Genomic DNA, 26,396 nt, shown 5'->3' with positions numbered 1-26,396 from the left:
TTCTGTGGGATCGGTGGTGATATCCCCTTTATCATTTTTTATTGCGTCTATTCTTCTCTCTTTTTTTCTTTATTAGTCTTGCTAGCGGTCTATCAATTTTGTTGATCCTTTCAAAAAACCAGCTCCTGGATTCATGGATCTTTTGAAGGGTTTTTTGTGTCTCTATTTCCTTCAGTTCTGCTCTGATTTTAGTTATTTCTTGCCTTCTGCTAGCTTTTGAATGTGTTTGCTCTTGCGTTTCTAGTTCTTTTAACTGTGATGTTAGGGTGTCAATTTTGGATCTTTCCTGCTTTCTCTTGTGGGCATTTAGTCCTATAAATTTCCCTCTACACACTGCTTTGAATGCGTCCCAGAGATTCTGGTATGTTGTGTCTTTGTTCTCGTTGGTTTCAAAGAACATCTTTATTTCTGCCTTCATTTTGTTATGTACCCAGTAGTCATTCAGGAGCAGGTTGTTCAGTTTCCATGTAGTTGAGCGGTTTTGAGTGAGATTCTTAATCCTGAGTTCTAGTTTGATTGCACTGTGGTCTGAGAGATCGTTTGTTATAATCTCTGTTCTTTTACGTTTGCTGAGGAGAGCTTTACTTCCAAGTATGTGTTAAATTTTGGAATAGGTGTGGTGTGGTGCTGAAAAAAATGTATATTCTGTTGATTTGGGGTGGAGAGTTCTGTAGATGTCTATTAGGTCCACTTGGTGCAGAGCTGAGTTCAATTCCTGGGTATCCTTGTTGACTTTCTGTCTCGTGGATCTGTCTAATGTTGACAGTGGGGTGTTAAAGTCTCCCATTATTAATGTGTGGGAGTCTAAGTCTCTTTGTAGGTCACTCAGGACTTGCTTTATGAATCTTGGTGCTCCTGTATTGAGTGCATGTATATTTAGGATAGTTAGCTCTTCTTGTTGAATTGATCCCTTTACCATTATGTAATGGCCTTCTTTGTCTCTTTTGATCTTTGTTGGTTTAAAGTCTGTTTTATCAGAGACTAGGATTGCAACGTCTGCCTTTTTTTGTTTTCCATTTGCTTGGTAGATCTTCCTCCATCCTTTTATTGTGAGCCTATGTGTGTCTCTGCACATGAGATGGGTTTCCTGAATACAGCACACTGATGGGTCTTGACTCTTTATCCAATTTGCCAGTCTGTGTCTTTTAATTGGAGCATTTAATCCATTTACATTTAAAGTTAATATTGTTATGTGTGAATTTGATCCTGTCATTATGATGTTAGCTGGTTATTTTGCTCGTTAGTTGATGCAGTTTCTTCCTAGTCTTGATGGTCTTTACATTTTGGCATGATTTTGCAGCAGCTGGTACCAGTTGTTCCTTTCCATGTTTAGTGCTTCCTTCAGGAGCTCTTTTAGGGCAGGCCTGGTGGTGAGAAAATCTCTCAGCATTTGCTTGTCTATAAAGTATTTTATTTCTCCTTCACTTATGAAGCTTAGTTTGGCTGGATATGAAATTCTGGGTTGAAAATTCTTTTCTTTAAGAATGTTGAATATTGGCCCCCACTCTCTTCTGGCTTGTAGGGTTTCTGCCGACAGATCCGCTGTTAGTCTGATGGGCTTCCCTTTGAGGGTAACCCGACATTTCTCTCTGGCTACCCTTAACATTTTTTCCTTCATTTCAACTTTGGTGAATCTGACAATTATGTGTCTTGGAGTTGCTCTTCTCGAGGAGTATCTTTGTGGCGTTCTCTGTATTTCCTGAATCTGAACGTTGGCCTGCCTTGCTAGATTGGGGAAGTTCTCCTAGATAATATCCTGCAGAGTGTTTTCCAACTTGGTTCCATTCTCCCCATCACTTTCAGGCACACCAATCAGACGTAGATTTGGTCTTTTCACATAGTCCTATATTTCTTGGAGGCTTTGCTCATTTCTTTTGATTCTTTTTTCTCTAAACTTCCCTTCTTGCTTCATTTCATTCATTTCATCTTCCATCGCTGATACCCTTTCTTCCAGTTGATCGCATCGGCTCCTGAGGCTTCTGCATTCTTCACGTAGTTCTCGAGCCTTGGTTTTCAACTCCATCAGCTCCTTTAAGCACTTCTCTGTATTGGTTATTCTAGTTATACATTCTTCTAAATTTTTTTCAAAGTTTTCAACTTCTTTGCCTTTGGTTTGAATGTCCTCCCGTAGCTCAGAGTAATTTGATCGTTTGAAGCCTTCTTCTCTCAGCTCGTCAAAGTCATTCTCCATCCAGCTTTGTTCTGTTGCTGGTGAGGTACTGAGTTCCTTTGGACGAGGAGAGGCGCTCTGCTTTTTAGAGTTTCCAGTTTTTCTGTTCTGTTTTTTCCCCATCTTTGTGGTTTTATCTACTTTTGGTCTTTGATGATGATGATGTACAGATGGGTTTTTGGTGTGGATGTCCTTTCTGTTTGTTAGTTTTCCTTCTAACAGACAGGACCCTCAGCTGCAGGTCTGTTGGAATACCCTGCCGTGTGAGGTGTCAGTGTGCCCCTGCTGGGTGGTGCCTCCCAGTTAGGCTGCTCAGGGGTCAGGGACCCACTTGAGGAGGCAGTCTGCCCGTTCTCAGATCTCCAGCTGCGTGCTGGGAGAACCACTGCTCTCTTCAAAGCTGTCAGACAGGGACATTTAAGTCTGCAGAGGTTACTGCTGTCTTTTTGTTTGTCTGTGCCCTGCCCCCAGAGGTGGAGCCTACAGAGGCAGGCTGGCCTCCTTGAACTGTGGTGGGCTCCACCCAGTTTGAGCTTCCCGGCTGCTTTGTTTACCTAATCAAGCCTGGGCAATGACGGGCGCCCCTCCCCCAGCCTCGCTGCCGCCTTGCAGTTTGATCTCAGACTGCTGTGCTAGCAATCAGCCAGACTCCGTGGGCGTGGGACCCTCCAAGCCAGGTGTGGGATATAATCTCGTGGTGCGGCGTTTTTTAAGCCCGTCGGAAAAGCGCAGTATTCGGGTGGGAGTGACCCGATTTTCCAGGTGCCATCAGTCACCCCTTTCTTTGACTCGGAAAGGGAACTCCCTGACCCCTTGCGCTTCCCAAGTGAGGCAATGCCTTGCCCTGCTTCGGCTCGCGCACGGTGCGCGCACCCACTGACCTGCGCCCACTGTGTGGCGCTCCCTAGTGAGATGAACCCGGTACCTCAGATGGAAATGCAGAAATCACCGTTTTCTGCGTTGCTCATGCTGTGAGCTGTAGACCAGAGCTCTTCCTATTTGGCCATCTTGGCTCCTCCCCCCCGGTATTAGTTCTTTAAACTTTTAGTAGAATTCAGCAGTGAAGATATTGGGGTCTGGGGCTTTTTTTTTTTTTTTAACTGGGAGAGTTTTTGTTACGGCTTTGATCTCATTACTTGTCTTTGGTCTGTTCAGGTTTTGGATTTCTTCATGGTTCAATCTAGGTAAGTTGCATGTGTCTAGGAATTTACTCATTTTTTTCTAGATTTTCTAATTTATTGGCATATAATTGTTCATAGCAGCCACTAATGATCCTTTGAATTGCTGTGTTATCAGTTGTAATATCTCTATTTTTATCTTTGATTTTATTTATTTGGGTCTTCTCTCTTTTTTTTCTTAATTAGTCTGGCTAAAGATTTGTCAATTTTGTTTATCTTTTCAAAAATTCACCTTTTTTTTCACTGATCTTTTGTCTTGTTTTCTTCATTTCAAAGTAATTTATTACTGTTTTGATCATTATTATTTCTTTTCTTCTCCTAGCTTTAAGTTTGATTTGCTCTTGCTTTCCCAGTTCTTTAAGATGCATCCTTAGGTTATTTATTTGATGTTCTGATTTTCTTTTTTGATGTAGGCACATACAGCTCCCTCCTAGTACTACTCTTGCTATATCTCATATGTTTTGATATGTTGTGTTTCCATTATTATTTGTTTCAAGAAAATGTTCAATTTCCTTCTCAATTTCTTCATTGGCCCACTGATCAATTTAGGAGCATAGTTTTTAATTTTCATGTGTTTGTATAGTTTCCAAAATTCTTGATTGATTTTTAGTTTTATTCCATTGTGATCAGGGAAATACTTGATATTTCAATTTTTCGAATGTTTTAAGACTTTGTTTTTTTTACTTTGCAGATGCAGCTGCCACTGGGAGCCCTGTGCCTTAGCCATGGTCAACCCACCATGTTCTTTGACATCGCCATCAACGGTAAGCCTTTGGGCCATGTCTGCTTTGAGTTGCTTGCAGACAAGTTTCTGAAGACAGCAGAAAACTTTCATGCTCTGAGCACTGGAGAGAAAGGATTTGGTTATAATGGTTCTTGCCTTCACAGAATTATTCCAGGGTTTATGTGTCAGGGTTTATGTGTCACTTATTTCTACATACCATAATGGCCCTGGTGGCAAGTTCATCTACGGGGAGAAATTTGATGATGAAAACTTCATCCTAAAGCACACAGGTCCTGGCATCTTGTCCATGGAAAATGCTGAACCCAACACACATGGTTCCCAGTTTTTCATCTGCCCTGCCAAGACTGAGTGGTTGGATGGCAAGCATGTGGTCTTTGGCAAGGTGAAAGAAGGCATGACTATTGTAGAGGCCATGGAGCACTTTGGGTCCAGGAATGGCTAGACCAGCAAGAAGATTACCATTGCTGACTGTGGACAATTCTAATAAGTTTGACTTGTGTTTTATCTTAACCACCAGACCATTCCTTCTGTAGCTTAGGAGAGCACTCCTCCACCGCATTTGCTCACAGTATCCTATAATTTGTGTGCTCTCACTGCAGTTCCCTTTGGGTTCCATGTTCCCTTCCATGCCTAGCTGGATTGCAGAGTTAAGTTTATGGTTATGAAATAAAAACTAAATAACAACAAAAAAGACTTTTTTTTACCTAACATATAGTCTATTCTTAAGAATGATCCATGTGCTGTGGAAAAGAATGTGTATTTTGCAGCCACTGGATAAAATGTTCTGAAAATATCTGTTAGATTAATTTGGTCTGTAGTATAGAGTACGTCTGATGTTTCTTTGCTGATTTGCTGTCTGGGAGATCTGTCCAAAGCTGTAAGTGGGGTGTTGAAGTCTCCAGCCATTATTGTATTGGGGTTTATCTCTCTCTTTAGCTCTAATAATATTTGCTTTATATATCATGTGCTTTAGTAGTGGGTGCATATATATTTACAATCATTATATCCACTTGCTGAATTGACTCCTTTATTATTATAAAGTGACCTCCTTGTCTCTTACAGCTTTTGTCTTGAAATCTATTTTGTCTGAAATAAGGATAGCTACTTCTGCTCTTTTTTGGTTTCCATTGGCATGAAATATCTTTTTTTATCTCTTTTTTTCAGTCTATATGTGTCCTTATAAGTGAACTCTATTTCTTATTGGCAACAGATCATTTAATCTTATTTTTTTTAATCCATTCAGTCACTCTATGTCTTTTGATTGGAGAGTTTAGTGCATTTACATTCAATATTATTGACTACTAGGGACTTCTTTCTACTATTTTAAAATTTGTTTTCTGGTTCTTTTGTGGTCCTATCCTTCTTTATTTCCTTCTTGTCTTTCTTAGTGAACATGATTTTCTCTGGTAGTATTCTTTAATTTCTTGCTTTTTACTTTTTGTGTATCCATTGTATGTTTTTAGATTTGAGGTTACGATGAGCCTTGCAAATACTATCTTATAACTTATCATTTTAAACTGATGACAACACTGATTGCATATACAAACAAGTATGCAGAAAGAAAACTAAAAAAACTCTACACTTTGACTTCATCCCCCACTTTTTAACTTGTTGTTGTTTCTCTTTATGTCTGATTGTACTGCGTACATCTTGAAAAGTCTTTGTAGTCATTATTTTTGATTGGTTTATCATTTAGTCTTTCTAGTTAACAATGGTAATTAACACTACCAATGGCAATGGTGGTTGTTACTTTTGCTGGATTCTTTTTAATTATTTTAATCTCTTTGTTAAATGTATCTGATAGAATTAATGTAATCACTAATTCTATCATTAATTAATCATTAACAAATCATTTATTATTAATAAATCTAATTAATTCTATGAATTCTGAATTTCTTCTCTGTGTTATCTTGAATTTTCTTGAGTTTCCTCAAAATAGCTATTTATTCAGTTTTCTCAAAATAGCTATTTTGAATTATCTGTCTGAAGGATCATATATCTCTGATCCTCTGGGGTTGGTCCCTGGTGCCTTATTTAGTTCATTTGGTGAGATGTTTTCCTGAATAGTGTTAATGCTTGTAGATGTTCATCAGTGTCTGGACATTAAAGAGTTAGGTATTTACTGTAGTTTTCACAGTCTGTGCTTGTTTGTACCTGTCCTTGGAAAGACTTTCTAGGTATTCAAAAGAACATAGGCCCCAAGCCTAATACTGCTGTAGTTTTTTTAGACTCATGGAAGCACCACTCTGGTGGTTTTGAATAAGATCTGGAAGAACTATTTTGATTACCCGCAGACTCTTGTTCTTTTCCCTTGGTTTCTCCCAAATAAATGGAGGCTCTGTGTGTGTGTGTGTGTGTGTGTGTGTGTGTGCTGAGATACCTGGAGCTGGGGATGTGGTGATGCAAGCACCCCTGTGGCCAGCACCACGGGGACCATGCTGGGTCAGACCTAAAGTCAGCACAACACTGAGTCTTGCCCAAGTCCATTCCCTTCAGGGTGGCAAGTTCTTCCAGTCACCAGGCATGTCCGGAGATGCTGTCTGGGAGCCAGGAATTGAAGTCAAACACCTTAGCAGTTTACTTAATGTTATATTCTGCTGCAACTAAGCTGACACTCACACCACAATACAGAGTCCTTCCCACTCTTCCCTCCCCTTTACTCAGGCAGAGGAGCCTCTCCCTGTGGTCACCACCACCACCAGTCCATGGGGGTTCTGCCAGGCCACCGTTGATGTTCACTTAAATCCCAAGGGCTCTTTTGTAAGCTTGTGGTGAATGCTGGTAGGCCTGGAGCTTACCCTTCAGGGAAGTGGGCTCTCTTCTGGCCAAAGGTAGTTCTAGAAATTCTGTCCAGGAACTTAGGGCTGGACTTAGGGATTCCAAGAGCCTTCTTGTTGCTTTGCCCTACTGTGGTCAAACTGGTGTTAAAGATACAAGACAATGTTCCCTTTATTTTTACCTGTACTTTTCTCAAACAGGAGTCTTTCATCATAGCCACCACAGCTGGAAAAGTGCTTGGTAAACTCTGAGGTAGCATGTCTCAGATCCCAAGGCCCATGATGTGCTTTCTGGGTATTTCTGCTGGTTATTCAGCACCCAAGGGTTCTTGAGTCAGCAGGTGCTTTAGTCCATTCTCACACCATTATAGAGAACTACCTGAGGCTGGGTAATTTATGAAGAAAAGATGTTTAATTGACTCACAGTTCCACAGGCTGAACAAGAAATATGGCTGGGAGGCCTCAGGAAACTTATAATCATGGCAGAAGGCTTAGGGAAAGAAGCACGTCTTACCATGGCAGAGTAGGAGAGAGAAAGTGAGGGAGAAGTGCTACATACCTTTAAACAACCAGATCTCACAAGAACTCACTATCACAAGAACAGCAAGGAAGAAATATGCCCCCATGATCCAATCACCTCCCACTAGGTCCCTCCCCCAACATTGGGAATTACAATCCTACATGTGATTTGGGTGAGACATAGAGCCATATCATTCATCACAGGTAATGAATTCTGCCAGGAATGGTCCTTCCCTTCAAGGAAGCAGTTCCCTTTTAGCCCAGGGTGTGTCTGGGAATGTTGTTCAAGACCTAGGGCCTCATGACTCTGTTTGCTGCCCCATCCTACCATGTCTGAGCTGGTTCCTAAGATGCAAGACTTTGTTACTTTTCACTTTCCTCTCCTTAAGCAGAAGGAAGGTGTCACATTTGTTGCTGCAAGCTGCATTGATTGGGGTTCAGGGAGAGATTGTGCAAACACTGCCTTAGCCACACCAGCTGGTGTCTCCCTAGGTCATGTGCTAGTCCACTGGTTCTAAGCACAGCCTAGTACTAGAAGTTGCCTAGAAATTGCACTCCTGGTATCCTGGACTGCCCTTCAAGTTTACCTAGGACCCCAGAACACTTCAGTCTGTGGTGGCGAGGCTTGCTGAGAAACTCAAGTTCTAACTGCTGGGATGGGCAATTTTCCTCTGGCTAGGGCTGGTCCAAATGCTCCCTCCATGTGAAGGTGCTGGCTGAGCCCAGTACAGCTTTATTCTCTACTGTGACAGGGAACCACTGAGTTCAATGTAAAGTTCCTCAGTCACTGCACTCTCCCTCCACAAATTGCAAAGTTCCTCTCTCTTAGCTACACAGCTGCTGCTGGGGATGAAGGAGGGGGGGTATCAGTGATTCAAGACTGTCTCTCCTACCCTCTTCAATGTCCCTTTTTGTGATATGAAATTAAAACCAGATATTATGATTGCTCACCTGATTTTTGGTTCTTGTGATGGCAATTTTCTGTGTGCAGATAGTTGTTAAACTTTGATGTTCCAGCAGAGAACTAACTATGTAGGGTCCTGTTCCGCCAGTTTGCTTTGCCCCGTTACAGGTGTCTTTTTGATAAAATGGTTTATTTTCCTTTGGACAGATACCCAGTAGTGAGATTGCTAGTTTGAATATTACTGCCATTTTTAGTGCAGAAATGTATTTTTTAAAAGTCACAGATAGTTTCAACAAAACTGATGACTAGATTTTAAGGAAAAGCATCTGTAGTACCTTGAATTCTGACCCTGCTGCAATAGTGCTGGGGAGTCCGTCTTCACTAACATGGGGGCTCCAATCATCTCCCATCCAGTATTATCATAAATAGCTCTGTAGTGAGAAGGGAGACTACATCTCTTAATCAAAATCAAAGTGCTTTCTCTGTGGATTAAACTAACCAAAGGGCTACACTATTTATTCTCAAGAAAGTAGAACTTAATTTATTTGTGTTAAAGCAAAGCATTGAAAAACTTTTCATGTGTTGGCCATTTATTTCCTTTGTGTATTATGTGTTGGCCATTTGTATATCTTCGCTAGTAAAGTGTCTAGTTAAGTCTGTACCCATTTTATTAAAGGGTTGTTCGTATTTTAAAACCGATTTATAGGAGTTCCTTACATATTCTAAATTAACATTAATATATTCATGTTATTAATACTAGCATTAACAAAATAGTATTTAATATAAACCAAGTTAATATTCTAAATTATAATTTGGCAAACTATGGCCTCCAAGCTAATGTGACCGGCAATCTTTTTTTTAAATAAAATTTTATTAAAACACAGTCATGCTCATCAATCTTTACATTGTCTGTGGTTGATTGGTCTTATAACTGAAATGTTGAGTAGTTACAACAGAGATTGTGTGGTCCATAAATCTTGAAATACATACAGTCTGAATCTATAGAAATAGTGTTCTGATCCTTGTCCTAGTTTAGCATCTTAACAAAATAGTATCTTACAATCTATAAACACACTATATCTTTTCATTTAGTAAATTTTTCTTTTAGAGGTTTTTGATAGTTTTCAGTGTAGAGGTATTGACTACCTTTTATTAAATGTATTACTATTTTGTGTTTTCTTGATACTATTTTAAATGGCAGTGCTTTTAGAATTTCATTTTTCTATTGTTTGTTACTAATGTCTAGAAATACAATTGCTTTTTTGTATGTTGACCTTGCATTCTAAGACCTTACTAAATTTATTTTTATTTATTTATTTTTGAAATGCAGTCTCCCTCTGTCGCCCAGGCTGGAGTGCAGTGGCACAATCGCGGCTCACTGCAAGCTCCACCTCCCAGGTTCACACCATTCTCCTACCTCAGCCTCCTGAGTAGCTGGGACTACAGGCGCCCGCCACCACGCCCGGCTAATTTTTTTTCTACTTTTAGTAGAGACGGGGTTTCACTGTGTTAGCCAGGATGGTCTCGATCTTCTGACCTCATGATCCACCTGCCTCGGCCTCCCAAAGTGCTGGGAATTACAGGCGTAAGCCACCGCGCCCAGCTAGACCTTACTAAATTTATTTACTTGTTTTACTAGTTGTTTGTAGATTCCATTGCATTTTCCATATGAAAAATGGTGTTTATTAATAGAGACAGCTTTACTTGTTCCTTTTTTAATCTTTAGGCTTCTTGTGATTTGCTCTTTGCCTTCTTTCACTAACTAGGACCTCCAATACAGTTGCTTAGAAGTTATGAATGTAAACATACTTGTCTTGTTTCTGATTTTCAAGTGAAAAACTTTTCATGCTTTCCCAGTAAGTATAATGTAAGGGTATTGTTTCTTTGATGAGAATTTGTTCTTTTAAAGTAAGGATTGTGTGACTTTGTTCTTTAATGTAGTAAATTATATTGAATTATTTTCAAATCTTAAACCAACCTCACATTCTTCAGGTAAATACTACTTGGTCATGTTGTAATAAAACACACTGGATTTGATTTGATAGAAGGATTACGCTGACCTCATAAAATAAATTGTGAGGTGTTCCTTTTGTATTCTTCTAACGAATTTGTGTAAGATCCATATTATTTCTTCTTCATAAATGTTTGATAGAATTTACCAGTGAAGCTATGTGGGCATGAAGTTTTCTTTGTGGGAAAGCTTTAATTATGACTTCCATTATTTTTAATTTAATTTTATTTATTTTTATTTTTTTGAGATGGAGTCTCACTCTGTCACCCAGACTGGAGTGCAGTGGCACAATCTCAACTCACTGCAACCTCTGCCTCCTGGGTTCAAGGGATTCTCCTGCCTCAGCCTCCTGAGTAGTTGGGACTACAGGCACACACCACTACGCCTGGCTAGTTTTTGTATTTTTAATAGAGACAGGGTTTCACCATGTTGGCCAGGGTGGTCTCACTCTTCCAACCTTGTGATCCACCCGCCTCAGCCTCCCAAAGTGCTGGGATTACAGGTGTGAGCCACTGGGCCTGGCCGACTTCCATTATTTACTAAATATAAGGTTAATCATATATTCTGTTTCTCCACATATCAATTTTTATAAGTTGTAATTGACAAGAAATTTATCTATTTCATCTAAGTTGTTGAATTTATTGGCCTTATGTTGTTAAAAAGATTTTCTTGTTATCATTTTTTTCTGTGTTATCTGTGATATTATTCCCTATTTTATTCTTATACCAGTAATCTGTAATTTTTCTTGATCTTTTATTCTTCATCAGTCTTATTATGGTGTTGCCATTTTTATCAACCTTTTCAAAGAGAACCCAACTTTTAACATGTTAGTTTTTCCTATTCTTTGTCCATTTTCCATTTCGTTTATTACTGTTCTTCTCTCATTATGTCCTCCTTTTTACTTACTTTGGTCATAATTTCCTTTCTTTGTCTAATTTCTGAAGTGGGAAATCTATGTCATTTGATTTTAAAATTTTATTCTTTTTATCTATGAGTGTATGAAAATAATAACTCATGATAAAATGGTGGAGATCTCAGAGTATATATTGGGTAAATATAATCATAATCTTGGAATAATGAAAAGGACTTTATGAAACATGAATAATCAAGAATGGCATGGGGGATCCAAGGATGCTAAACTCTCTCTGAGGGAAGCCAATTCTGCACAAGTGTAGTCTTCCAAGTTGCCTTTTCAGCTTCTCTTTCCCTGAAGTAGACAAAGGGCCTTATAACACTAATTCCTTATTATTTCAGAAATAAAGTGAGACTTTATTAAGGACTATTCTTATCAGGGCTGGAGCTAGTCAAAATGAACGTTTAACTAAAGTTTGTTAGTAGTTCCTGTGAGTCTCATGTTGGGGCTCTTTATTTTTATCTCACTCAAGACTTAGAACAACATAGTGAGCACACCTGGCACCCAGACCTTGGCTTCTAATAACATTCTCAATTAAAGGAGTCAGGGATTCTTGGAGAAATAGGTGACTGGATTGGGACAAGAATTATACAGGCTAAGTCATCTTGTAGCGTAAGAAAGTAAGGAAGTGCTTTAGAAAAACTCACTTTGATGGGGGATGTATCAAAGAGCACAGGATCCAAGAGTTTTCACTCACCAAATTGAAACAATTTGAGCAACAACATAAATAATGTAGAATTGGGTTTGAACCCCACATATAATATAAATATCCACAAATCTTTAGTAATATAAATAAATAAGATTAATAAATAAATGGGAAGAGAAGAGACAAATCTCTCAGACAAAAAAAGAATTTCAATTAATTTATGTCTCACCCTCAAGGAGGTAGCTCAAAACTCTTCACTCTTTAAGTGTGAGCTATGCATTGTGACTTTCTTCCTAAGAGTACAGTATTGATAGAGGGGAAAGGTTGCCTTTATAGTGTAGAGCCCTGGCAAGCACTTCCTCAGCTAGGTGATTAAGGTCAACATGAACTTTGAAAATCATACTGATATCTACTACCCTTGGTGTGATGGAATGAAAATGGTACTTTACCTCTGTGATCTTCCTTCAGAAACTCATAACCGTAGTCTAACCGTGAGAAAAATATCAAACAAATCCCAATGGAGGAACATTCTACAAAATAGCTGACGAGTGTTCTCAAAATTGTCAAGGTAATCAAAAACAGGGGAAGTGTAAGGATTTACCACAGCAAGAAGAGCCTAAGGACATAGGACAAATATGCTAGACTGGATGGGATCCTGGAACAGTAAAAGGATGTGAGGTAAAAACTAAGAAAATCTGAATACAGAATGGACATCAGTAAATAACAATGATTCAATACAGGCTCATTAATTGTAACAAACGTATCATACTAATCTAAGATACAAATAATAGCAAAAACTGGGTACTGAGAATATGTAAATTCTGTGCTATCATCACAATTTTTCAGAGAGTCTAAAACAGTTAAAAAATATTTATTAAAAAAACATAAGGAGAGAACTTTTCCAATATTTCATATGAGAAAACAAAGCTTCAGTGAGCTTAGGTAACTTGCTGAAAGTCAGATAATTATACAATAAGTGGCAAATTGGGAGTTTGAGCTATATCTTTGGACTAAATGGCTTGTTTCAACACCTCACATTATGTCTTTTATGTGCCACCATCCATTTTAGTGCCATCTACCCACTGTCAGAATTTCTCTTCCTTCTCACTCATCAGGTTTTCACTGTTTGCATGCACCCCACTTGCTTCTAGGCAAGAATATAACCGCAAGCAGTTGATTTGGGAAGTGATTCCAGGAAGCACAAATGAGAAAGAGAGACAAGGAAAGAAAAAAATGCCAATAAATTGTGTGTAATGAACTGATTTTGCTTTAGGCAACTGGAGCTTAATCCTATTTGGGATGTTCTGAGACACCATATGGAGCATGGCTCACAGTTATCTCTCTGGGGACAGAGAGGCTTCCACTTACCCTCCGACTCCCATCTTCCAATGGCTGAAGTTTGCTCTGGAGGGATTAACACTCTTATATCTACCTAGTTCTGGAGAAATCGTCATTCACAAAAGAAGAAAGATTCAGGCGCTTAAAATAGGTTGCTATCAGCTTACCAGAAACTGAAGTAGCTAGAGAATAATTCAGACGGAATGAATATGGGGTGGGGTCTGCAACATCATACAGAGGAATTTGGGATGTGTGAGTTTTTACAGACATAGCTACATTTTAAATGTATGCAAAGGATAATTTGTAATGCAAAGGTATGAATAACCAATTTTAAGTTCAAGACTATGTAGAGCAAGTATTGGTAAACTGTGGATGGTGAACAAAATCATGCCTACTGTCTGTTTGTGTAAAGTTTTATTGTTATACAAATAAAGTTTCACTGTAACAAATTTACTGTAGCATTTTTATGGCAGCAGAGGTGGCCTGTTTAGAGTGGCCACTGCAAAGATGCCAACTGCAGTGGGGAAGGCAAGGCCAGGGCTGTGCATTCCATGAAGTCTGACGGAGAAGGAACAGGAAAAAGTCCCACCCCCTTCTACGTTGGTGGGGCTAGAACCCCAGCCTCAATGTCACAGCTATAGCCACTCAGCCATGGTTGCAGACCCAAGCATCCCTGCACTCTTGGGGGCCCTGGAAGCCTCTTGCCCCTGCAGGTTCAGAAGTGCCTGCTCCCACTGCCTGGCCTCTCCCTGCTCCCAGCACCCACTTAGATTTCAGAGCAAAGTTGAAGTCGAGCCTGGGTGCTGTCATAACCTGGCCAGATGTGCACATACTCAGGGTGCTGCTGGCACACCAGCCCCTGCTGCCTTGGCCCCCTCCAGACTTTGGGTGCTGGTGAGCATAGAAGAGAGACCAAGTCAGGACCTGAGGGTGGCTCAACACAGGGCTTCAGGTGCCCCTTGGCACAAACAGCCTGAGCACCATGGACAGCAGGTTGATGGTGGCAAAAGGCAGACAGGCTCCTAGGCAGAAGGAGGTGGGTCCCTGGTGAAGCCCCACCTTCAAGCCAGGGATGGCTTGAAGCCTAGGGGCTGGGCTGGGGCTGTCAGTTCTGCGGAGCAAACTGGAGTGAGAACTTGTGCTTTTTCCAGGCCTGCCCATCACTGCCCATGGATCAATCAGCATGCACTTCCTCCCCTCTGAAGCTCATAAAAACCCCAGACTCAGCCAGACTTGGGCAGAGGATGGGATGATCTGCAGGTAAATAAGAGTTACCAACTTTGGGTCTCCTAGGAGCTGTACTGTCACTAAATAAACTCCTTGCCTTGCTCACCCTCTAGTTTTCTGCATATGTCATTCTTCTTGGATGCAGGACAAGAACTCTGGACTTGCCAAATGGTGGGACTAAAAGAGCTATAACACACAGAGGACTGAAACACGCATCCCCCCCCACAACTCACCACATTGCAGGTGACAAGAAGGAGAGAAAATACAAGGAGAGAAGAGCTGTAGCCCTTTGGGAAGCCCAGACCTAGGAGCTCCTTGAGCCAAGGCTATGACACTCTCTTTGGGGCTCTGCAGTTACTAGCATCTCCAAGCTTCCAGGCAGCAGTTACTAGCATCTCCAAGCTTCCAGGCACCACCACATTCCCTGGTGCCCACAGTGGAAGCCACTTGCAATACACCTTGTCCAGCACAGCCTTGCAAGGAAGCAGCACCTGACCTGGCTTCTGGAGCTGCCTGCCCTGTGACAGCCACCGTGCCTGGCTGTACACAGTGTCTGGACCCCACACTCACTCACTCATGTACTGCTTTGTGCCTGGCTTGCCCTTGACAGGCATGGGATCCAGGCCAGAAGCGTGAGCTGAGCACAGCCTGCCAGGCCGAGTGGGCAGAATGAGCCCAGTAGGCCCAAGCAAAACTCAGACAAAGACATCACTGGCCACAAAGGTTTCCAGCTGAAAAAGTGACACCACAAAGATCCTGTGGCATTTTGGGGGGCTCATCCAGGATCTGTGGAAGGGTGAGTAAAAGTGGATTTGCTGCTTTCTGTCCTTTTTTAAGAGTCCCTAAACTCCACAATAGCCAAAATGAAAGCAAACTACCACACCTCTGCCAGCCAGTTAAAAGCAACTCATGTGGCTGCTGGACTTAAGATACAGAGGACAGGTTTGCTGAAGAGGACACTGTCAATCCCCCATCACCTTAGGCGTTGGGAATGTTGGCTTTGTTCTAATCCAGTTTCCCTTCAGAAAGGTCTAGTTGTCAAGTGGGATCAGAAAAAGGTCCTGGGGCAACTGAGAGTATATGGTTAAGGTTACAACTTGGTGTTATCCAAAGGCCCCTGGACTAACTCCAGTTCCCAACTGCCAGTTAGAGTGTCAGCACTAGGACCTCCAGTCTTTCCTTTTCTTTCTTTTCTTTCTTTCTGTCTTTCTTTCTTTCTTTCTTTCTCTCTCTTTCTTTCTTTTTCTTTATTTTCTTTCTCTTTCTTTCTCTCTCTCTCCCTCCCTCTCTCTCTTTCTCCACCCCCCCACCTCCCTCCCTCCCTTCCTTCCTTCCTTCCTTCCTTGGCTCCTAGATCTTCTTTATATACAATGTTAAGGGTGTTGTTGCAAACCACAGAGATAATATTACTGGGTAGAATGAGTATTTGGCTTGGTCATCAGGAATGTAAATTAGAACAATTTGGTGTCTGTCTCTTCTTAGAATCAAGGAGGATATAACAATTGAGACTTCTCTTTCCCATGTTGAAGAAACCCATTTGCATAGGGCAAGAGGCTTTTCCTCCAAGCACCTTCCCCTCCCTTGTGCTTAAGTTGTTTCTTTTCTCTTTCCTTCACCATGTTGAGTCAATAAAGTCCTGCAAATACAGGGAGATTTTCTAATGATTTTTTCCTCTTGGGAGGCATCTTGTTAGGCCAGGTCCCCAATTCCTCGGACTCCCTTTCTCTCCCTTGTTTGAGGAGGACCTGGTCCTACAGCTTCACCTTCTTATGATAGGGAAGCAATGGAGGAGCAGCCCCACTGGTTGCTGGCTGCAATTTTTCAAGGGCCATCTGGGCCTAATTTAATGGGTCCCTACACTCTCCCAAGGCACCCTTTTGTCCTAAGCTTTGGTTTGATGCCCTAGAAAGGAAAATTAGATCTGAGAGATACAGAGGCAGATGACAGGGGAAGTCTAGGGGCACAGCACAGGTGAGCATGACTAATTCCTTCCAATTAGGCCCTCCTGCTTCATAGATGGAGGTTATGCTCACATCCATGGCATAGATAAGGTCTAGGAAACTCAAAGGTTACTTACAGTTGGAGGCTTAGGCATCGAGTAGGTGAGTGCTAACATTCCTGCTGGCTATGCCTTTCTGCTTCATGGGTGAAGGTTGCACTTTCACCTGTGGTCAGCACCTGCAAAGGTCACCAGGACTCGTGGATATAAGGTCAGGAGAAAGAAGGGGATGCCTTTTTTTGTCTTCATCATGTACCCCTGGTATTTGCTGGAAAGAAAAATGAACAAAGGAATGACTTTTCCCTCTTTCCATATGGGTAACCAACAATCTTCAGCCAGCACTCCTCTCTAATGCATCCTGAATCATTGGGACCCCTTTGACCCTCCAACTCTGGAGAGAGAAAAAGCACCTTTTTCTGCCTCTGTCTTCTTTTCCAAATGGGCAACCAATCATCTTCAGCCTGCACTGCTTTTGAGTGAATCCTGAATCACTGGGACTGCTTTGACCTTCAGACTCTGGAGAGAGGGAAAAATGCATTTTTCCTCTTCTGTCCTCTCCTCTAGATGGGTAACAAATCGTCTTCAGCCTACGCTCTTCTAGAGTGTATTCTGAATCACTGTGGCTCCTTTGACTCTCAGTCTCTGGAGAAAAAGTATCTCATATTCTTTTGCCCAAAGGTGTGGCTGAATTATTTTCTGTAGGAAGGAGAAACATGGCCTCAGGAAGGAAGCATTAATTTCAATACCATCCTGCAGCTGGACCTTTTCTGTAAACATGAGGGCAAATGGTCCAAGGTCCCATATGTGCAGGCTGTCTTTCCCTTGCAGGAGTATAAATTGCCAAGATTGTCAGATTGATTCAGTCCTCCTAGCAGCCATCTCAGGAGAGGTTGCAAGGTGCAATCCCGGGGAACTTGGGAAGCAAACCCCAGAAGTACCTCCAGTGGGGGAATCAACTCTCCCTCCACTCCTACTTATGTAGGTTCTCTCTCAAGCTTGCCCCATCCTAGAAATCCTCATTTTAGGCAGGTCCCAGTCTCATTCCTGCCCCTACAACAGAGGCCTGGTGAATATGGCCCCATTAAGGTCTGGGTCCCCTTTTCTCCACAGGACTTAAAGCAAATTAAGGGGGATCTTGGAAAGTTTTCAGATGACCCTGATAAGTATATAGATGCTTTCCAGAAATTAATCCAAGTATTTGAACTCTCCTGGAAGAACGTTATGTTACTTTTGAATCGGATCCTCAGTACTGCTGTAAAGCAGGCTGCTGTACAGTGGCAGAGAATTTTGGAGATGAACTTTGGATCTTATTTAGTGCCAGGGAAGGGGATGAGCTTTATCCAATTGGAAGAATAGCAGTACCATTGGAGGACCCTAAATGGGACCCCAATGATGAAATGGGAGAATGGAAGAGGAAGCACTTTCAGATGTGTGTACTGGAGGGCTTATGGAGAACTAGGACTAAGCCAATCAATTACTCCAAACTATCCATGATAGACCATGGATTAGAAGAGAATCCCACTGCCTTCTTAGAAAGGCTAAGAGAGGCCTTGGTAAAGCACACCTCTCTATCTCCTGATTCAGTCGAAGGAAAACTAATTCTAAAGGATAAATTTATTACTCTTGCAGCCCCTGATATCAGGAGGAAGCTGCAGAGACAGGCCATTTGACCAGATAGTGCTTTAGAGAACCTCCTGAAAGTGGTCACCTTGGTATTTTACAATACAGATTAGAAGGAGGCCCAAGACAGGAAAAGGAGACACAAGAAAAAGGCAGAGGCTCTAATAGCCACTTCACATGCTCACAAACCCCAGAGTCACTGGATACACTTGATAACCGCTACAAATGTGGCAAGCCAGGGCAGTTTAGGAAGGACTGTCTGGACAGCAGGAGGAAACCACCTTGATGCTGTCCAATATGCAGTGGGGATCACTGGAGGGCAGACTGTCTCTGGAGACATAGGACTCCTGGCCCAGCCCAAATGATCCAGCAGGATTAATGGGTCCCGACGCTCCTCTCCCCAGCTCCAGTGGTTTAGAAGTTGAAGAGAGGAAGGTGGACCTCCTCCTGGAAATTGGAGTGAGCCTTTCATTTCTCCTCTCCAATTCAGCCCCCTGCCTCCTCTCTTAGCACGACTCTGGGGGACATCTCAGGAAAACCTTTAACCCAATATTGTTTCTAACCCCTCAGGTGTAGTTGAGAAGACCTCTTCCTTACTGTTCTCGCCTTTGTTCTGTTCCTCATTATAAAGCATCTTTGTCAAGGACTCCTTAATCCTGAACTCCCAAGGAATTATCTACACCCCTAAACAATTATTTCTCTATTAAAGTTTAACTGCCCCCATACCAGATTCACTTTTTTCCACCGGGGTGTAACAGCTCTAGCCACAACATTGTTATCAGAATAGTCTATTTTTTTCCTTTTAGCTCCTTTTTGTATAACACTCCTATTTGGTAGATGTATACTTAGCCTCCTTCTAAAATTTGTTTATTCTCAAGAGGCTATCAAACTCCAAGCATCATTCAATTAGAGGCTCAGACAATGGCTCCGTTTTTTACTAAGGACCCTTAGATAGACCTCTGAGAGAGATCTGACTCCCGTATTCACCAAAACAATGGCCCCTCTCAGCATGAAGCAGTTAAGAGCAGTTATTGTCCCTATCCTAACAGCAGTTAGTTGTACCTCTTCAGGGGGGGGGATTGATGGCAGCGGCAGCCCATCTGGAGTGGCCACTACAAAGATGCCAGCTGCAGTGGGGGAGACTTGGCCAAGGCTATGCACTCTATGGAGCCAGCAGGAGCTGGAAACAGACAGAAGTCCCTCCTCCTTCCAAGTTGGTGGGGCAGGAGCCCCACCATCCTGGGTGCAGCTGCAACTGTCTAGTGACAGCTGTGGATTCAGGCATCCCTGCACTGTCGGTAACCTGGGAAGCCCCCCTGACCCTGCAGGGTTGGAAGTGCCTGCTCCTGTTGCCTGGCCTCTCCCCACGCCCAGTGCCTGCTCTGATTTTGGAGCAAAGTTGAGGCTGAGCGTGAGCACTCTCATGACCTGGCATGCACTCAGGGTGGTGCTGACACACCAGCCCTCTGCTGCCTTGGCCCCCTCCAGACTTTGGGCACTAACAATAATGGAAGAGAGGCCAAGTCGGGGGCTGAGAGTGACTTGGCACAGGCCTGCAGGTGACCCTACACATGAACAACCTGAGCACCGTGGATGGCAGGTTGATGGTGGCAAGAGGCAGACAGACTCTTTGGTGGAAAGGGATGGGTCCCCAGTGAAGCCCCCACCTTCAAGCCAGGGACAGCCTGATGTCTAGGGGCCAGGGTGCCTGTTCTGCAGACCAGAGTGAGAACTTATGGTGCTTTTTCCAGGCCCACCCATGGTCACCCATGGACGAATCAGCATGCACTTTCTCCCCTCTGAATCCCATAAAAACCCCGGACTCAGCCAGACTTTGGCAGATGATGGGGTGACCTGACTGCTGATAGGAGCTACCCAGTTTGGATTTCCTCTTTGCTGAGGGCTGAAGAGACAATGAGACATCCTCTCTGTGGAAAGGAGCTACCCACTCCAGGTTTCCTGAGAGCTGTATTGTCGCTCCATAAAACCCCTCTTCACCTTGCTAACCCTCCAGTTGTCCGCTTATCTCATTCTTCCTGCACACAAGATAAGAACTTGGGACTTGCTGAATGGTGGGACTAAAAGAGCTGTAACACAGATAGGGCTGAACCCCCAACCCCCAACTCACCATGTTGTGGGTGACAAGAAGGAGAAAAGAGAGAAAAGGAGTGAAAAGCTGCAGCCCTTCAGGGAACCCAGACCTAGGAGCTCCCCAAGCCAGGGCTGTGACACCCTTTTTGGGGCTCTGCGGTTCCTGGCATCTCCAAGCTTCCAGGCACCACTGCATTCCCCAGTGCCTGCAGTGGAAGCTGCTAGCAGTATGCCTGGCCCAGCCATAGCCTCACAGGAAACTGGTGCCCATGCCGACAGCTAGAGCTTCCCCCCCTACCACAGCCAGTGTGCCTGGCTGTACACGGGCCAGACCTTGCACTCGTTCACTCATGCACCCCTCACCACTCTGTGCCTGGCTCGTCCTTGGCAGGCATGGGATCTGGGCCAGTAGTGCAAGCCGAGCACAACCTGCCAGGTCAAGTGGGTGGAACAAGCCTAGCAGCCCCAAGCAAAGCTTGGGCAAAAGTGCAACTAGCCACAGAGGTTTCTGGCTGGCAAATTGACACCCCAAGGATCCACGACAATTTGTTTTCATATTGTCAATGACCATTTTGGCACTACACTGGCAAAGGTGAATAGTTGTGACAGAGCCTATATGGTCCACAAATATTTTACCATCTGGGCCTTAAGGGATAAAGTTTGCTGACCTCTGATGTAGAGCCTACATAGGAAAACTTTTATACGGGGAAGTGCTCTCTGCTGCACCAAATTCTCTACTGCAGGTGATGACTACTTGTACTTTTGTGAGATAATTGCTGGTCTGTGGGATTATTTAAGCTCTTTGAGAACTGGTACTGTCTATTATATAGACAGTGGAAAGTTCTCTACACTGAGTTTGAGCAGCTTCTTGGAAATAATCATAGATTAAAGGTCTCTTGAGGCCCTTTCATGTTTAAGCCTGGCTTTGGAAAAATGTAAAGTTCTGGCCAAGAAATGACAGCACAATTTTGGAAGATTACTTATGAATCTATATATATTTCTTCATAATAGGCAGATGATACACTCTATAGAAGGGAATATGTATTCTTTATCCAGTTGGGAGCATCCTGTGAGAGTTAAATAATTTGTTTTGATTATAAGGAGATTTCAAAAAACTCATTATAGATAATAGATCACAATTATGGGCAATTTCTACCTGTATCATCACAAAGAGAAAATTTCTAATACTTTACTACCAGTTCTCATTATCTTCAATTTACTGTAGAGGCCAAAGAGCTTTGCAAATACGTAAGAACGTTCTTTAGCAGGATGATACATTTATAGCAATGCTGAGTTATTGAGGCACTCCTACGCCATCAGCTAAATTCAGCCCAGTCCAATTGATGCACAGTAGATATATTAAACTCACATTTTTCAAATTGGGAAACATTTTGCTACCTAAATTGTCAAAGCAAAAACAGAAAGTTCATTCAGCAGCTGCATATGGCAAGAAAAACTAATGGCGACTCTTCAGTGAAAAATTTCTGACTGTTTAGAAGGACAGTAAAAAAATGCAGTCAGAGGTCAAAGATGATTAAAGGGAAAAAGTAATTCACCAATGCTGCATGCTCATGTAAAACAGTTTCATAAAATTTAAAAGTTTAAAAGTTTTGATTGAGCCATGAACATATACAGAGAATGAAATCCCAAAGTTAAGTGTCAGACCAAGATGGAAACATTCAGAAGAGTATTCTAGAATGTGTTCCATGACTGTTTGGCATTTCACCTGTAGTAAGGCCATAAAAAGGTAGGCTTCTTAGATGTAGGCAGAGAATTTAGTGAGGAAGACAAGAGAAAGGTATTGATTCATGGGGACAGAAAGAAGAGTGGTGGTTAGCAGGTGTAGGGACGGGGTAATGAAAGTTATTGTTTAATATGTACACAATTTCTGTTTCGGATGAAGAAAAAGTTCCAGAAATGGATAGTAGTGATGGTTGCATAGCATTGTCAATGTGATTAATGCCACTGAATTTTACACTTAAAATGGTTAAAATAGCAAATTTTATGTTATATATATTTTGCCAACATTTTTATAGAGAAATCTATTGTTGTACTGTGAGTTTCCTCTCTCCAAAGGGAAGAAGTGGGGGTGTATTTTCTTCACTTCAAGCACAATGAGAGGCTATTCAAAGGAACCATTTGGAAGCTTGATATTTATTCACACTGCTACTCTGTCCCCACATAGTGGGGCATTTGAGGACATGGTCCCTAACTTATGCCTAAGAAAAGAAAAGTCTTTAGAAATAAGACGGGAGCTTGTAGGAGAATAAATACTGTCAACTACAGTGGGGATATGCATGCATGAATCCTACTTGTAATACAGAGCAAATGCAACTCTTGTACACTAGTGGTGGAAGTGTATATTCGCAGCCATGTTAGAAAATCACTTGGCTTATGCACACACAATCACACAGGAATTCCACTCTTAGGTATACATCTAACAATACTAAGTTTGTATAGACACCAAAGGACATATAGAAGAATGTTCCGTAGCAGCTCTGTTCACATCAGCTCCTAAGTGGAGTCAAAAACAAAAAAGCCAATTTATAGTAGAATAAGTAAATGAATTTTGGTATATTTACACAGTGACATGTAACAGTGAGATCAATTAACTATTGCCATATGCAACACCACAAATGAATTCCTCCCCCTAAATATGTTGGTGTACAGAAATGCTAGTGATGTTTGCACATTGGTTTTGTATCTGGAGACTTTGCTGAAGTTGCATATTAGCTTAAGAAGCTGTTGGGCTGAGACGATGGAGTTTTCTAGATATAGAATCATGACATCTGCAAACAAAGAGAGTTTGACTTCCTATTTGAATATGCTTTATTTCTTTATCTTGCCTGATTTCCCTGGACTGAAGTTCCAATACTATGTTGAATAGGAGTGGTGAGAGAAGGCATCCTTGTCTTGTGCCAGTTTTCAAGGGGAATGCTTCCAGCTTTTGCGCTTTCAGTATGATACTGACTGTGGGTTTGTCATATATGACTCTTAATATTTTGAGGTATGTTCTTTCAATACCTAGTTTATTGCAAGTTTTTAATATAAAGGGATGTTAAATTTTATCAAAGACCTTTCCTGTGTCTATTGAAATAATCATGTGGTTTTTGTCTTTAGTTCTGTTTATGTGATGAAATCACATTTATTGATTTGTGTATGTTGAACCAACCTTATATCCTGGTGATGAAGCCAACCTGATCTGGTGGATAAGCTTTTTGATGTGCTACTGGATTCAGTTTGCCAGAATTTTATTGAGAATTTTTACATCAGTGTTAATCAGGGATATTGGCCTGGAGGTTTTGTTGTTGTTGTTGTATCTCTGCCAGGTTTTTGTATTAGGATGATTTTGGCCTCATAAAATGAGTTAGGGAAGAGTCCCTCCTTTTCAATTGCTTGAAATAGTTTCAGTAGAAATGGTATTAGCTCTCCTTTGTACCTCTGGTAGAAATTCAGCTGTAAATATGTCTGCTTCTTGGCTTTCTTTTGGTTGATAGGCTGTTTATACTGTCTCAATTTCAGAACTTGTTATTGGTCTATTCAGGGATTCCATTTCTTCCTGTTTTGTCTTGAGAGAGTGTATGCATCCAGGACTTTATCCATTTATTCTAGATTATCTTGTTTATGTGCATACAGGTGTTTATAGTATTCTCTGATGGTTGTTTGTATTTCTGTGGGGTCATTGATGATACTCATTTATCATTTCTAATTGTGTTTATTTGATTCTTCTTTTTCTTCTTTATTAGTCTAGCTAGCAGTCTATCTATTTTATTTTTTTTCAAAAAACAGCTCCTGGATTCATTGATTTTTTATGGCATTTCATGTCTCTATCTCCTTCAGTTCTGCTCAGATCTTGGTTATATCTTGTCTTCTGCTAGCTTTGGGGTTTGTTTGCTGTTGGTTCTCTAGTTCTTTTAGTTGTGATGTTAGGTTGTTGATTTGAGATCTTTCTAGCTTTTTGATATGGGCATTTAGTGCTATAAATTTCCCTCTTAACACTGCTTTAGCTGTGTCCTAGAAGTTCGGGTGTGTTGTCTCTTTGTTCTCATCAGTTTCAAAGAACTTCTTGATTTCTGCCTGAATTTCATTATTTACTCAGGAGTCATTCAGGAGCAGGCTGTTCAATTTCTGTGTAGCTGTGTGGTTTTGACTGAGTTTCTTGAGTTCTAATTTGGTTGTGCTGTGGTCTGAGAGGCTTGTTTTTTAATGATTTCAGTTCTTTTGCATTTGCTGAGGAGTGTTTTACTTCTGATTATGTGATCAATTTTAGAGTAAGTGCCATGTGATGATGAGAAGAATGTATATTCTATTGTTTTTGAGCAGAGAGTTCTATAGATGTCTATCAGGTCCAATTGATCCAGAGCTGCATTCGGGTCCTGAATATCTTTGTTACTTTCGCTTCAGTGATCTGAATAATATTGCCAGTGGGCTGTTAAAGCCTTGCACTATTATTGTTGGGAATCTAAGTCTCTTTGCAGGTCCCTAAGAACTTGCTTTATGAATCTGTGTGCTCCTGTATTGGGTGCCTATATATTTAGGATAGTTAGCTCTTCTTGTTGAATTGAACCCTTTACCATTATGTAATGCCCTTCTGTGTCTTATTTGATCTTTGTTGATTTAAAGTCTATTTTGTCAGAAACTAGGGCTGAGACCCCTGGTTTTTCTGTTTTTTTATTTGCTTGGTAAATTTTCCTCCATCCCTTTATTCTAAGCCTATGTGTCTTTGCACATAAGATGGGTTTTTTGAAGACCGCGTACTGATAGGTCTTGAATCCAGCATGCCACTCTTTGTCTTTTATTTATTTATTTATTTATCCATAGGTTATTGGGGTTCAGGTGGTGTTTAGTTACATGAGTAGGTTCTTTGTGGTGATTTGTGAGATTCTGGTGCACCCATCACCTGAGCAGTATACCCTACACCCTATTTGTAGTCTTTTATCCCTTGCCCCCTCCCACTCTTCCCCAAAGTCCATTGCATGATTCTTATGCTTTTGCATCCTCATAGCTTAGCTCCCACATATCAGTGAGAACATACAATATTTGGTTTTCCATTCCTTAGTTAGTTAACTTGGAATAATAGTCTCCAATCTCATCCAGGTCACTGTGAATGGCATTAGTCATTCCACTCTGTGTTCTTCAATTGGGGCATTTATGCCATTTACATTTAATGCTAATATTGTTATGTGTGAATTTGATCCTTTCATCATGATGCTAGCTGGTTATTTTGCAGACTTGTTTATGTGCTTGCTTCATAGTGTCACTGGTCTGTGTACTTCAGTGTGTTTTTGTAGTGGCTGGTAACAGTTTTTTTGTTTGTTTGTTTGTTTGTTTGTTTTATTTTGAGATGGAGTCTCGCTCTGTAGCCCAGGCTGGAGTGCAGTGGTGCGATCTCGGCTCACTGCAAGCTCCGCCTCCTGGGTTCATGCCATTCTCCTGCCTCAGCCTCCCAAGTAGCTGGGACTACAGTGGTCTGCCACCACCCCCGGCTAATTTTTTGTATTTTTAGTAGAGACGAGGTTTCACCGTGTTAGCCAGTGTGGTCTCAATCTCCTGACCTTGTGATCTGCCCGTCTTGGCCTCCCAAAGTGCTGGGATTACAGGCGTGAACCAACCTCTCCCGACCAGCCCCATCCTGTTTTTTCTCGCTCTCCATTGGTCAAGCCATCCCCTACTCAGTCCCAATGTGAAAACCTCAGCACCTCAGTTGAAGGTGCAGAAATCACTGGCAATTTTCATTCCTCTCCCCGAGACTCACAGACCACAGCTTCTTCTAATTGGCCATCTTGGCCCCTATGCTCTGATCTTTATAATTTTTTTTTTGTCTGATTGCTTTTGGTTTGATTTACTCTTCTTCTTTTCTTCATTTTCTTAAGGTAGAAACTTAGATAATTTATTTAAGAACTTTCTTCTTTTCTAGTATAAACAATTATTGCTATAATTTTCCTGTAAGCATTATTTTAGCAGCATTTTACAAATTTTGGTATGTTGTGTTTTTATTTTTAGTCAATTCAAAATATTTAGTAATTTCTTTTGTGACTTCCTTTTGAACATTGTTGTTTAGAAATGTGTTACTTAATTTCCAAATTTTGGGGAGTTTTTAAGAATTTTTCTTTTATTGATCTTTAGTTTGATTCTATGTGATCAGGGAACACATTCCGTTTGATTTTGTTTTTACTTTCTTGAGACTTGGTTCATGGTACTGGACATGATCAATCTGGATGAATGTTCTATGTGCACTTGAAGAAAGTTTGCATTCTA

At 41.5% G+C, this 26,396-nt stretch overlaps 1 pseudogene, besides 3 other annotated features; it reads left to right on the top strand.

Annotated features, from left to right (window-relative positions):
• Positions 2,385–2,927: an enhancer, noted in NCBI's record as "OCT4-NANOG-H3K27ac hESC enhancer chr18:5004401-5004943 (GRCh37/hg19 assembly coordinates)". NCBI's record gives its function as "activates a minimal SCP1, AML or CMV promoter by ChIP-STARR-seq in naive H9 embryonic stem cells {active_cell/tissue: H9 hESC(naive)}" and the evidence as "EXISTENCE:reporter gene assay evidence [ECO:0000049][PMID:30033119]".
• Positions 4,033–4,777, top strand: PPIAP14 (peptidylprolyl isomerase A pseudogene 14; annotated as a pseudogene).
• Positions 18,354–18,993: an enhancer, noted in NCBI's record as "OCT4-NANOG-H3K4me1 hESC enhancer chr18:4988335-4988974 (GRCh37/hg19 assembly coordinates)". NCBI's record gives its function as "activates a minimal SCP1, AML or CMV promoter by ChIP-STARR-seq in primed H9 embryonic stem cells {active_cell/tissue: H9 hESC(primed)}" and the evidence as "EXISTENCE:reporter gene assay evidence [ECO:0000049][PMID:30033119]".
• Positions 18,994–19,635: an enhancer, noted in NCBI's record as "OCT4-NANOG-H3K4me1 hESC enhancer chr18:4987693-4988334 (GRCh37/hg19 assembly coordinates)". NCBI's record gives its function as "activates a minimal SCP1, AML or CMV promoter by ChIP-STARR-seq in naive and primed H9 embryonic stem cells {active_cell/tissue: H9 hESC(naive and primed)}" and the evidence as "EXISTENCE:reporter gene assay evidence [ECO:0000049][PMID:30033119]".

Source organism: Homo sapiens, chromosome 18 (assembly GCF_000001405.40).
Source record: "Homo sapiens chromosome 18, GRCh38.p14 Primary Assembly".
NCBI classification, from domain to species: Eukaryota; Metazoa; Chordata; class Mammalia; order Primates; family Hominidae; genus Homo; species Homo sapiens.
This window is presented reverse-complemented; position numbering and strand designations above follow the sequence as displayed.